General features: G+C 49.0%; 4 annotated features.

Annotated features, from left to right (window-relative positions):
- Positions 503-612: a silencer, noted in NCBI's record as "silent region_10206". NCBI's record gives its function as "represses an Ori minimal core promoter by ATAC-STARR-seq in GM12878 lymphoblastoid cells {active_cell/tissue: GM12878}" and the evidence as "EXISTENCE:reporter gene assay evidence [ECO:0000049][PMID:35858748]".
- Positions 503-751: a biological region, named in NCBI's record as "ReSE screen-validated silencer GRCh37_chr19:13700158-13700387".
- Positions 522-751: a silencer, noted in NCBI's record as "fragment chr19:13700158-13700387 (GRCh37/hg19 assembly coordinates)". NCBI's record gives its function as "represses an EF-1alpha promoter that drives an FKBP-Casp9 reporter gene in an ReSE screen in K562 erythroleukemia cells {active_cell/tissue: K562}" and the evidence as "EXISTENCE:reporter gene assay evidence [ECO:0000049][PMID:32094911]".
- Positions 8873-9167: an enhancer, noted in NCBI's record as "tiled region #13460; K562 Activating DNase matched - State 12:CtcfO". NCBI's record gives its function as "activates a minimal TATA promoter and a strong SV40 promoter by Sharpr-MPRA in K562 cells {active_cell/tissue: K562}" and the evidence as "EXISTENCE:reporter gene assay evidence [ECO:0000049][PMID:27701403]".

Here is a 13489-nt window from a genome sequence, read left to right on the forward strand (position 1 = left end):
TGAGGCCTCAAAATGCTTAATGGCATACCCGCTACAGAAACAGAAAACTATTACCAAGTACTTACTATGTGGCTGCACTGTTCTAAATGCTTTCTATGTAATAATGCAGTGAACTTAATCTTTGTAAGAGCCCCAGAGATGGGTGCTATTGTTTTCCCCATTTGACAGAGAGGGAAACTGAGGCACCGAAAGGGAAAGGAACCCTCCTCCCCAGAATCAGTCAGCAAGTGGCAGAGTTGGGATTTGAACCCTGGCCGGGGCACTCAACCACACCCCAGATTGAAGCCAGGTAAGCCCCACACTTGACCTCAGGACCTGCTTGTAACCCATCAGACCTCAGGGAGCCCTGCAAAGCCCCGAGTCCGCCCCTGCCGCCCCAGTTGGTCTTTACCAAGCCCTTTGTGCATGAAAAAGCAATAGCCATATATGTAATGATTAGTTATCACATGATGGGAATTCAATTATTGATTTGGGGCTGACTTCCATTTCTCGGAACAGGCAGAAAGGAAGCGGCAGGGAGGTGGGTACTCCGGAGAGCGAGCTGAGCGCTCTGCTGCCCGGCGCCTGCCAGGCTGGGGAGCCATGGCGCCACCTGGTGGCCAGTCTTAGCAGCGGCGGGCGACAGTGGGTGAACGCAGGGGAGACCCGCGCAGGCTGCTTTTTGAGCACAGTGTGTGTCAGGCGCTGTTCCAGCTCAGGGGTCCAAAAACCTCTTCGATAAAGGACCTCAGATGAAATGCTTCCGGCTCTGAGGGCTAGACAGTCTCTGTCCCAGAGACAGCTCTGCCGTTGTAACACAAAAGGAGCCACAGACAACATCAGCACAAATAGAAAAGGCTGTGTTCCAATAAAACTTTATGGACACCAAATTTTGAACGGCATACAACTTTCACCTATCAAGAATTATCCTTCTTTTTATTATACGACAACAAAAATTAATGAACGGGTCGGGCGTGGTAGCTCACGCCTGTAATCCCAGCATTTTGGGAGGCCAAGGTAGGTGGATAACCTGAGGTCAGGAGTTCGAGACCAACCTGGCCAACATGGTAAATGAAACCCCGTCTCTACTAAAAAATACAAAAATTAGCTGGGCGTGGTGGCGCGCACCTGTAGTCCCAGCTACTCCGGAGGCTGAGGCAGGAGAATCGCTTGAACCCGGGAGGCTGAGGTTGCAGTGAGCCGAGATCTCGCCCCTGCACACCAGCCTGGGTGACACCAGACCGGCCCACGTGGAGCTCACAGAGCAAATATGGCAGCAACAAGGGAGAAAGCCGATGCGTAACACATATGAGCTGGTCGTGAGTGCTAGTGGGGAAAATTAAGCGGGGCAGGGAACCAACATAAGTAGGGGTTGCATTTTATTTTTTTTCAATTCTATTTATTTATTTAGAGATAGGATCTCTCTCTGTTGCCCAGGCTGGAGTGCAGTGGTGCAATCATAGCTCATTGCAACCTTCAACTCCCAGGCTCAAGCAGTCCTCCCACCTCAGCCTCCTGAGTAGCTGGGACTACAGGTACGCATCACCATGCCCAGCTAATTTTTGTAAAGATGGAATCTTGCCATGCTGTCCAGGATGGTCTCAAACTCCTGGGCTCACAGGATCCTCCTGCCTTGGCCTCCTGAGTAGCTAGGACTACAGGTCCCAGTACAGTCAACGAGGGAGGAAGCCCCATATGTAACACATAGGATCTGGTTATGAGTGCTAGTGGGGAAAATTAAGCGGGGCAGGGAATAAGCACGAGTAGGGCTGCATTTTATTTTATTTTTATCTTATTTATTTATTTATTTATTTATGAGACAGGGTCTCACTCTGTTGCCCAGGCTGGAGTGCGGTGGCACGATCATGGCTCACTGCAGCCTTGACCTCCCAGGATCAAAGGATCCTCCCACCTCAGCCTCCCAAGTAGCTGGGACCACAGGCGCACACCACCATGCCTGGCTAATATTTTTTTGTTTTTTGTGGAGATGCCTCACTATGTTGCCCAGGCTGGTCTCAAACTCTTGGCCTCAAGTGATCCTCCCGCCTTGGCCTCCCAAAGTGCTAGGATTATAGGCATGAGACACTGCACCCAGCCGGGGCTGCATTTTAAATAGGGTGATGATGAAAAGTTTGATGAGGAGGAAACCTTTAATCAAAGGCTGGAAGGAGGCAAGGAAGAAGCCGTGTGGGTGCCGAGGAGAAGAGCATTCCTAGCAGAAGGAACAGCCAGTGCAAAGGCCCTGAGGCTGGACCACCCTGGTGCATTGGAGGAACAGTGATAAGGTTAGTATGGCTGCAGCACAGTGCACGAGGGAGAGAGAGGAGGGAGGTGAGGGCAGGGAGGTGACAGGGGCAGGGCCTTATGGGTCTTGGTGAGGACTTTGGCTTTTGCTATGAGTCAGGTGGGAGCCATGGAGGGTTCTGAGCAGAGGAGGGATATAATCTGACTTGTGTTAAAATATGATCTCTCTGGGGGGCTGAGCATGGTTGCTAACACCTATGATCTCAATGCTTTGGGAGGCCGAGGCAGGAGGATCACTTGAGGCCAGGAGTTTGAGACCAGCCTGGGCAACATAGCAAGACCCTGCCTCTACAAAAAAATTTAAAAATTTTCCAGGAGTGGTGACACGCACCTACGGTCCTGGCTGCTCAGGTGACCGAGGTGGGAGGATCACTTGAGCCCAGGAGGTCAAGGCTGCAATCAGCCATCATTGCACCACTGCACTCCAGCCTGGGTGACAGAGTGAGACCCTGTCTCTAAAAATAAAATAAAAGTCTCACTTTGTGTGTCTCATTCTCTCAGCTCAGGCCTCGGGGACCAGGACAATTCAGGCCACCCATCCGATCCCTAGCTGGGAAAGTCACCCAGTCCTAGCTGGTGACCTGCAGTTTGGCTGAGCCTGGGTCCCCATATCCTATAAGTGGTCAGTTCTGGCCTGGAATTCAAGGTCACACCATCTCTCTCTTGGCTTGGCTCTCAAATGCCTCAGTAACCTGGAATTCACCTCTCCGGGTCTGTTCACCCATCTGCATAAGGGACAAAATAATAAGGGTACTACCGGTCATAACAAGTAATCATGGCCGGGCGTGGTGGCTCACTCCCATAATCCCAGCACTTTGGGAGGCTGAGGTGGGTGGATCACCTGAGGTCAGGAGTTCGAGACCAGCCTAGCCAACAGGGTGAAACCCCGTCTCTACTAAAAATACAAAAAAAAATTAGCTAGGCGTGGTGGTGCATGACTGTCATCCCAGCTATTTGGGAGGCTGAGGCAGGAGAATTGCTTGAACCTGGGAGGTCGAGGTTGCACTGAGCCGAGATCGCGCCACTGCACTCCAGCCTGGATGACAGAGTGAGACTCTGTCTCAAAAAAAAAAAAAAAAAAAAGTAATCATAATAAGATACTAAGTAACCACAATAACAATAGCAACAAGAGCTGCCCTAGCTGTTTCAGGAGATCGTTGCGTGCATTTGATAAGATGTGCTGCAACGAAACACTTTGGAAAACAATAACCTGCACCACAATCTATTTATAACAATGGTGATGAGGACTAATCGAGTCAATGCATGTAAAGGTCTTGGAGCCGTGCCCCACAGATAGTAAGTGCTCCATCAACACTGGGTTTTTGTTTGGTTTTTGAGACAGAGTCTCACTTTGTCGCCCACGCTGGAGTACAGTGGTGTGATCTCGGCCCACGGCAACCTCCCCTCCTGGGTTCAGGCGATTCTCCTGCCTCACCCTCCGGAGTAGCTGGGACTACAGGCACGCACCACCACACCCGGCTGATTTTTTTGTATTTTTAGTAGAGACGGGGTTTCACCATGTTGGCCAGGCTAGTCTCTAACTCTTGACCTCAAGCGATCCACCTGCCTTGGCCTCCCAAAGTGCTTGGATTACAGGCGTGAACCGCCATGCCCAGTCAATACTGGTTATTGCCGGGCACAGTGGCTCATGCCTATAATCCCAGATAGTCCAGAGGCTGAAGTGGAAGGATCGCTTGAGCCCGGGAGTTTGAGATCAGCCTGGGCAACATAGTGAGACCCCCATCTCAAAAAAAAAAAAAAAAAAAAAACACCTGGTTGGGCTGGGCGCCTGTGGAATTACGCGCCTGTAATCCCAGCACTTTGGGAGGCCAAGGCGGGTGGATCACGAGGTCAGGAGATCGAGACCATCCTGGCTAACACAGTGAAACCCCGTCTCTACTAAAAATACCAAAAAAATTAGCCGGGCATGGTGGTGGGCGCCTGTAGTCCCAGCTACTAGGGAGGCTGAAGCAAGAGAATGGCGTGAACCTGGGAGGCAGAGCTTGCAGCGAGCCGAGATCGCGCCACTACACTCCAGCCTAGGTGACAGAGCGAGACTCCGTCTCAAAACAAAAACAAAAACAAACAAACAAAAAACATGGTTATTATTATTATTATGGCCTAAGAAGTATTATTAATGATACTCATGGTAGTTCCCTTAACTCTCCTCTCTCTGCTCCCCATTCACACTAATGTTCTCTCTATTCTCTGATGAAGATGACGGTTCAGCAGCTCGCTGCTTACACCCAGGCAGCGTCAGCCTCACCTGGCAGCCTGTTAGAAAGAAATGCAAAATCCCAAGTCTTAGCCTAGACCTGTTGAAACAGAATCTGCATTTAACAAGACCCCATAGGCCAGGCGCGGTGGCTCACACCTGTAATCCCAAGATTTTGGGAGGCTGAGGCAGGAGGATTGCTTGAGCCCAGGAGGTTGAGGCTGCAGTGAGCCATGATCGAGCCATTGCACTCCAGCCTGAGTGACAGAACGTGACTCTGTCTCAAAAATAAAAATAAGAAAAGTATTGAGTTTTATTAGTCCTTAACTGATGGTTGACCCAAATCCACTTGACTGGCTGGCACTGGCTCTCATTCACTGTCAGTCAATGCTTTTACTCAAGAGATATTTTATGAGCACCTACTGGGTGCTGGCCTCAGTCTCTGGGGATACAGCTGTGAACAGGACAGACAAGCAACCTGATTGGGGATACTCCAGTGGGCAAGACAGACCACTAGAAATGAGATAAATAACAATTCCAGTGAATGGCAATGTATTGCAGTCTGCTTAGACCTGCATGAGTGATTGATGGACTGGGATGTTGGCTGATAAAGTGGACACGTGGCTTTAAAAGATTCCTGCCTAGAAAGCAAATATTGAGACCGGACGCAGTGGCTCACACCTGTAATCCCAACACATTGGGAGGCCAAGGTGGGCGGATCACTTGAGGCCAGGAGTTCAAGACCAGCCTAGCCAACATGGTGAAACCCCGTCTCTGCTAAAAATACAAAATTAGCTGGGCGTGGTGGCAGGTGCCTGTAATCTCAGCTACTTGGGAGGCTGAGGCAGAAGGATCACTTGAACCCGGGAGGCAGAGGTTGCAGTAAGCTGAGATCACGCCACTGTACTCCAGTCTGGGTGACAAAGCAAGACTCTGTCTCAAAAAAAAAAAAAAAAAAAAGAGAGAGAGAGAGAAAGAGGATTGAAGAAGATAGTAACAGAAGCAGAAATGAGCAAAGAGACCAAAGTCTGTCAGTCATGAGAAGTAATCACGGTGGTGATCTAATTCAATCGCTATCAGAAGGTGGCCAGAAAACATTCAGAATTCTCATGAAGACAATCGGTGAGGTGAAATCACGTAAGCCTCACTGTGGCATGTACCGTGCCTGGGTGGGGTTCCTACTGGTGGACAAAACCACCACAGTTATAAAAATAAAGCTTCCAAACAGCAATGAAGAATGGAAGATGCTTAGGAGATGCAGTAGCTTACATGTATAATCCCAGTGATTTGGGAGGCTGAGACAGGAGGATCACTTGAGGCCAGGAGTTTGAGACCAGCCTGGGCAACATAGTGAGAACTTGTCTCTACAAAAATAAAAAATTAGCCAGGTGTGGTGGTACACTCCTGTAGTCCTAGCTACTGGGGAGGCTAAGAAGGGAGGATCACATGAGCCCAGGGGTTCAAGGCTTCGCTGAGCTATGATTGCCCCCACTGGACTCCAGCCTGGGTAACAGAGGAAGATCCTGTCTCTAAATAATAATAACAATAACAATAATAATAATAGGAGACATTCTACAGGATGATTTATCTGGTTTATTCTCAGAGTCAATAGGGTAGAAAATAGGGGATCAGAAAGAGACTGCTGTAGACTAAGTAAGACATAGAAGACATGACTACCAGAAAATTAAATATAGAATTATCATATGATCCAGCAACCCTGCTTCTAGGAATATATCTCCAAGAATGGAAAGCAGGGTCTCCAAGAGTTATTTGTACACCTATGTTCATAGTAGCATTATTCTCAATAGCCCGAAAATAGAAGCAACCCAAGTGTTCATGGATGGATGGATGGATGGATGGATGGATGGATGGATGGATGGATGGATGGGTGGGTGGATGGATGGGTGAGTTGGTGGATGGATGGATGGGTGGGTGGATGGATGGATGGATGGGTGGGTGGATGGATGGGTGGACGGGTGGATGGATGGATGGATGGATGGATGGATGGATGGATGGATGGGTGAGTAGGTGGATGGATATGTGGGTGGATGGCTGGATGGATGGATGGGTGGATGGGTGGATGGATGGGTGGATGGGTGGATGGATGGGTGAGTGGGTGGATGGATATGTGGGTGGGTGGATGGATATGTGGGTGGGTGGATGGATGGGTGGATGGATGGATGGATGGATGGACGGATGGATGGATGGATGGATAGATGGATAGATGGGTGGATGGATGGATGGATGGATGGATGGATGGATGGATGGATGGATAGATGGACGGACAAAATGTGGTCTATTCATACAATGGAATATTATTCAGCTTTAAAAACTAAGAAAATTCTGACACATGCTACAACATGGATAAACCTGGAGGACATTATGCTTAGTGAAATAAGCTAGACACAAGAGGACAAATGCTGTATGTTTCTACTTATATGAGGTCCCCAGAGTCATCAGATTCATGAGACAGAAAGTGGAATGATGGGTGCCAGGGGCTGGGGAGTGAGTGTTTCATGGAGACAGAGTTTCAGTTTGGAGTGATGAAAAAGTTCTGGAGATCAGCCGGGCATGGTGGCTCATGCCTGTAATCTTGGCACTTTGGGAGCTGAGCGGGGCTGACCACTTGAGGTCAGGAGTTCGATACCAGCCTGTCCAACATGGCCAAATCCCATCTCTACTAAAAATACAAAAATTAGCTGGGCGTGGTAGCAGGCGCCTATAATCCCAGCTACTCGGGAGGCTGAGGCAGGAGAATCCCTTGAATCCGTGAGATGGAGGTTGCAGTGAGCCAAGATCATGCCACTGCACTCCAGCCTGGAAGACAGAGCGAGACTCTGTCTCAAAACAAACAAAACGTTCTGGAGATGGATGGTGGTGACGGTTGCACAACAATGCGAATCTACTTAATGCCACTGAACTGTATGCTTAAAAATGGTTAAAATGGTCAATTTTACGTTGTGTGTATTTTACCACAATAAAAAGAGAGAGAAACGATGAAATGCAACACACAAGCCTTCTTGATTCAAAAAACTCAACTGTAAAAAGATGAGCAAGGAAATCTGAATGTGGACCAGAAATTAGATATAAAAATCATGATTAATATTGTCAGTGTGATGTGATTAAGATGTGTCTGTGTGCTTTAGAGATGTAGTCTGAAGTTTGCAAAAATCACATAAGGTCAGGGATTTACTTTTAAACATCTCAGAAAGAGGATATGGATTTATGATGTGAGTCTGGCACAATCCTGATAATTATTAAATTTTAATGGATACGAAAGTCTCACTGACCTCTTTTTCCTACTTTTAGTGTATTGGAACATCTTCAGAATAAAAAGCTCTCACAGAGCACGGTATTCAAAAAGCGAAGGCAAACTTCTAAAACATAAGGGTAGAAGCGTGTTGTACTATTAAATCAAACTATTAAGCCATTTGGAAATATATATATCTTGTTGATGTCTCATCCTTTTCACGTTTTTATTTTTATGTGTATTTTACAGTGCATATAACACATTTAGCAAAATATTTTTATAAATTATATATAACTAAAAATGCATGGGCCGTGGCTACGCATTTCAGCTATGAGTGTGCTCAAAAATTGTTTTGCTGGCTGGGGTAGGAGTTCAGAAGTTTGGAGATCATGGCTATAAGGACGCTTTGGGCCAGGCATGGTGACTCATGCCTGTAATCCCAGCAATTTGGGAGGCCAAGGCAAGAGGGTCGCTTGAGCCCACGAGTTCGAGACCAACCTGAGCAACATAGCAAGATCCCATCTTTACCAAAAAAAATTGTTTTTAATTAGCTGGGCATGGTGTCATGCACCTGTAGTCCCAGCTACTTGCAAGGCTGAGGTGGGAGGATCGTTTGAACCCAGGAGGCAGAGGTTGCAGTGAGCCGTGATAGGGCCACTGCACTCCAGCCTGGGTGACAGAGCAAGACCCTGCCTCCAAAATTAATTAATTAATTAAAATTTGTAAAAATGAAAATAAATTAAAGAAACTTTTATGGGTTCTAGAAACCAAGGCAGACGTTAAAGGGAATAGGTGCTTTTCCTGGTTATTTATGGAATGATGGATGGGTGGATGGACAGATTGGTATATAAGATGATAGGTGGGTGGATGGACGGAAGAATGAATGGAAGAATGGATGGAAGAATGGATGGATGAATGGGTGAATGGAAGAATGGGTGAGTGGGTGGGTGGGTTGGGTGGATGGATAGATGTGTGGACAGGTGGGTGAATGGGAAGTTGGTTGGATGGCTGGAAAATGGATGGATGGGAGAAAGAACAGGGAGGTGGATGAATGGATTGATGGGTAGAAAGATGGATGGGTGATGGACGGATGGATGGATGGATGCATGCACAATTAGAAGTTTAAATGGGTGGGTGGTGGGTGGGTGAGTGGACAGATGAGTGGATGGAGGGGAGGTTAAGAGGAACCCAGTTTTGTGGCAGGTGGTGGGGAAGTCACAACATGCCTTCCTAAATGATGCTCAAACACGCCAGTAGATGTCAGACTAACCTCAGGAAACCACCTCGGGGCCAAGCTTGCACCACCCTGGCCCCATCCTGAAGTTCTTTGATTCAAAATGAGCAAAGGCTCATTTTAATAAAACAGTTTGCATTGCACCCTGTATTTACACACTCCCTCACCAGCACCCTCCCAACTCAAATGGCATTTATAACCCCACTTCCTCTCCTGCAAATGGAAAAATGGGGCCAGGGTGGGTGTCTGGTGAAGGGTGCTTCCCACAGGGTCAGGTCGGGAGCATCAAGAGGGTAAGAGAGTAAATTTTGGGGTCCCCTAAATTGATTAGTATCCATATCAGCCTCAGCTCCAATCAAAATAATATTTATATTCTCATCCCACACTCCTGATGTCTGCTCAGGAATCCACCCTAGGCCTGTGCCTTTGCCAAAAAAAAAAAAAAACTTTTGAGGAAAAGGAAAGTAAAGGGGAAGGGGAAAGGGAAAGAGAAAAGAAGAGAGGGAAGGGAAGGGAAGGGACCCTGTCTCAAAAGGAAAGAAAGAAAAGAGAAAGAAATAAAAAGAAAGAAAGAAAGAGAGAGGAAGGAAGGAAGGAAAAAAGAAAAGAAGGAAGGAAGGAAAAAAGAAAAGGAAGGAAGGAGAGACCCTGTCAAAAAGGAAGGAAGGAAGGAAAGGAAGGAAGGAAGAAAGGAAAGAAGGAAAAAAGGAAGGAAGGAGGAGAGAGAGAAGAGAGACACTGTCTTAAAAGGAAATGAAAGAAAAGAGGGAAAGGAGAGAGGGAGGGAAAGAAAGAGGAAGGAAGGAAGGGAGGGAGGGAGGGAGGGAAGGAAGGAAGGGAGGGAGGGAGGGAGGGAGGGAAGGAGGGAGGAAGGAAAGAAAAAACCCAGTAGCTCCCCCACTGTGTGGAAAAGGATGCGTAGGGGCCGGCCTGAGACTGAACCTTCACACAAACCACCTTCAACCCTCGAACAGCCAAGACCCCAGCTCAGGAAAGCCATTCATCCAACATTGCCCAGCAGCAACTACATGACAGAGCCAGTTCCACCCCCAGTGTCTCCCACCAGAAGACCCACTTTTGGGGTCACTGACAAAGAGAAAGGGGGACCCAGAACCAGACTCAACTGAAGCCACCACGTACTCCCAGCCCTATCTAGGTCCCTCTCTGCCTTCACACACTTCTGTCTTCAGCCCTGAAACCCGCAGATTTCAACTCAACACTGGAAGTAGAAATGGGATTCCCACGTTTTTCCCCAGAAAGCAGCATTTCTCAGCCATCTCAACAGAAATATTTGCTGGCTGAGCGCAGTGGCTCACGCCTGTAATTCTAGCACTTTGGGAGGCCAAGGCGGGTGGATCATTTGAGGTCAGGAGTTTGAGACCAGCCTGACCAATATGATGAAACCCCGTCTCTACTAAAAATACAAAAATTAGCCAGGCATAGTGGCGTGTGCCTGTGGTCCCAGCTACTTGGGAGGCTGAGGCAGAAGAATCTCTTGAACCCAGGAGGCGGACTTTGCAGTGAGCCGAGATTGGGCCACTGCACTCCAGCCTGGGTGACAGAGCAAGATTCAGTCTCAAAAAAAAAAAACAAAAAAAAAAACCAGAAAGAAAGAAAGAAAGATTTGCCAACCCATCAGAGTGGACACTCACAATCCTGGGAGCCTGGTCCTGGCTGCCCCATCCATGGTTAATCTCTGTTGCCTCAGCCTGGGGCAGCTCAGGGATTCACAGAGCCGGATGGGGGTGTCCGGGGGGCATAAGGCAACCAGTATTGATCAGTTAGCAGGGAAGGATTTTGAGATTTCAGAAGCCAGCACAGCCTTATCAATATGTTCCAGCTGCATGAATTTGCTCCCCGAAAAAGCTCGCCAAAAACATCCTAACCCCCAAGGGATCCCCGGTACAGCCGCACCGCCCCCCGATCACCACCACCCAGGCATACTCACTCCCATTCTTTCCTCCTGGCCTGGGGGGTGCTGTGGATTTTGTGGGCCTGGTGGGCCAAGATGACATCTCGGTGATCCACCACGCCGCCCCGCCGCCTCAGAGGGGGGCCCTCGAAGCAGATGCTGAGCCGGGGAGGCCGAGTGTCCTGCAGGGCGCTGGGCGTGCCCCGAGCTGCGGTTGTGCAGGGCGTCATAGTAACTGGGGCGCGAGAGCATGGAGTCGGGGACCCAGGAAGACTTCAACATCCACGGGCCTCGCTCAGAAATCCCAGGGTCTTCTCCCTCCAGCACAGTGAGGGGGAAACTAGAAGAAGAAAGAGGAGACAGAGAGGGCCAGTGTGAGGGAGAGGCAGACAGAGCTCACAGAGGGCAAGGAGAAGGGAACTCAGAAGACAAGGAGAGGCCGCCCCACCCTCCTTCGCAGAAAGTCAAAATACACCCCAGCCCAGGCTGGCCGGGATTTAGTAGTTCCTTGGCAACTCAGGGCCCAGAAAGCCAGTTCTTAGGAGCTGCCCGGCAACATATGTGCCCCATGGAGCAAAACACTATGAGGCTGTGCCGCGGGCACTCGCTCCACCTCCCAGGTGCCGGCCACAGAGGGCGGGATGCTGGATTTCTCAGCATCTCTATGTCTCCTTCTGCAAAATGAGCCACCATGGGCCTGGGGGTTGGCTCTCCCTCAGTCCCTTGGTCCTGTGAGCTCTGGAAAGCTGAAAGGGTGAGTTCAAGAGGCAGTTTTAAACGCACGTGGAAGGCTGGGTGCAGTGGCTCCCCCAGGTAATCCTAGCACTTTGGGAGGCAGAGGTAGCCAGATCACCTGAGGTGAGGGGTTCGAGACCAGCCTGGCCAACATGGTGAAGCCCTGTCTCTACTAAAAATACAAAAATTTAGCCGAGCATGATGGCCCATGCCTGTAATCCACATGCCTGTAATCCCAGCTGCTCAGGAGGCTGAGGCAGGAGAATCGCTTGAACCCAGGAGGCAGAGGTTGCAGTGAGCCGAGGTCCCACCACTGCACTCCAGCCTGGGTGACAGTGAGACTCTGTCTCCAAAAAATAAATAAATAAATAAATAAATCCACATGTGAGTGGCCACCTGTCCAGCCACACTGCTTCTCACCAGGTTCTCTGTTTTTTTAACTTCATTTTTATTTTTTTTTAGAGATGGGGTCTTGCTATATTGCCCAGGCTGGTCTGGAACTGCTGGGCTCTAGCAATCCTCCTGCCTCAGCCTCCCTCTTGAGTAGCTGGAATGACAGGTGCACGCCACCACACCAGGTTACGGCTCTTTGGTTTGTTTGTTTGTTTGTTTGTTTGAGATGGAGTCTTACTCTGTTGCCCAGGCTGGAGTTGTGGTGTGATCTTGGCTCACTGCAACCTCCACCTCCCGGGTTCAAGCAATGCTCCTGAGTAGCTGGGACTACAGGCGTGCGCCACCACGCCCAGCTAACTTTTGAATTTTTAGTAGAGACGGGGTTTCACCATGTTTCATGTTTCACCATGTTGGCCAAGCTGGTCTTGAACTCCTGATCTCAAGTGACCGGCCCGCCTCTGCCTCCCAAAGTGCTGGGATTACAGGCATGAGCCACCGTGCCTGGCCAACAGCTGGTTTTTGGAAAGAGAAAAGAGACAGGGTTTCCTCCACTCACACATTTATCAGGTGGACACTCAACACACCAAAGGACCTTGAAGCCCCAAGATTTTTATCTCCAATCACTTAATCATTCAACAAACTCTGAGCGACCACCCAATTTGTGCCTGGCCCTGTGCTAGGTCCTGGGGACGCAGCCATGAATAAGACTGGCAAATGTCCCCACCCTCATGGAGAAGGCATTCTAGGAGGGAGACAGACAAGGAACAAAATAAGTGGGTACATTATATAGAGATTAGGAGTTGAAAAGTGCTGGGAAGGGCCAAAGGACCAGGTGTGGTGGCTCATGCCTGTAATCCTAGCACTTTGGCGGTCAGATTGCCTGAGCCTAGGAGTTTGAGGCCAGCCTGGGCAACATAGTGAGACCCCATCTCTACTAAAAATACAAAAATTAGCCAGGCATGGTGGTGCATGCCTGTAGTTCTAACTACTTGGGAGGCTGAGGTGGGAGGATCACTTGAGACTGGGAGGCAGAGGTTGCAGTGAGCCAAGATTGTGCCACTGCACTCTAGCCTGGGTGACAAAGCCAGACCATGTCTCAAAAAAAAAAAGTTTTTAAATTGACAAATAAAAATTGTATATATATATATAGGCCAGGCGTGGTGGCTCACGCCTGTAATCCCAGCACTTTGGGAGGCCGGGGCGGGCGGATCACAAGGTCAGGAGATTGAGACTATCTGGCTAACACGGTGAAACCCTGTCTCTACTAAAAATACAAAAAAATAGCTGGGCGTGGTGGCGGGCGCCTGTAGTCCCAGCTACTCGGGAGGCTGAGGCAGGAGAATGGCATGAACCTGGGAGGCAGAGTTTGCAGTGAGCCGAGATCACACCACTGCACTCCAGCCTGGGAGACAGAGGGAGACTCCATCTCAAAAAAAAAAAAAAAAGATTGTATATATATATATGCAC

This window comes from Homo sapiens, chromosome 19, assembly GCF_000001405.40.
Source record: "Homo sapiens chromosome 19, GRCh38.p14 Primary Assembly".
Taxonomy (NCBI): domain Eukaryota; kingdom Metazoa; phylum Chordata; class Mammalia; order Primates; family Hominidae; genus Homo; species Homo sapiens.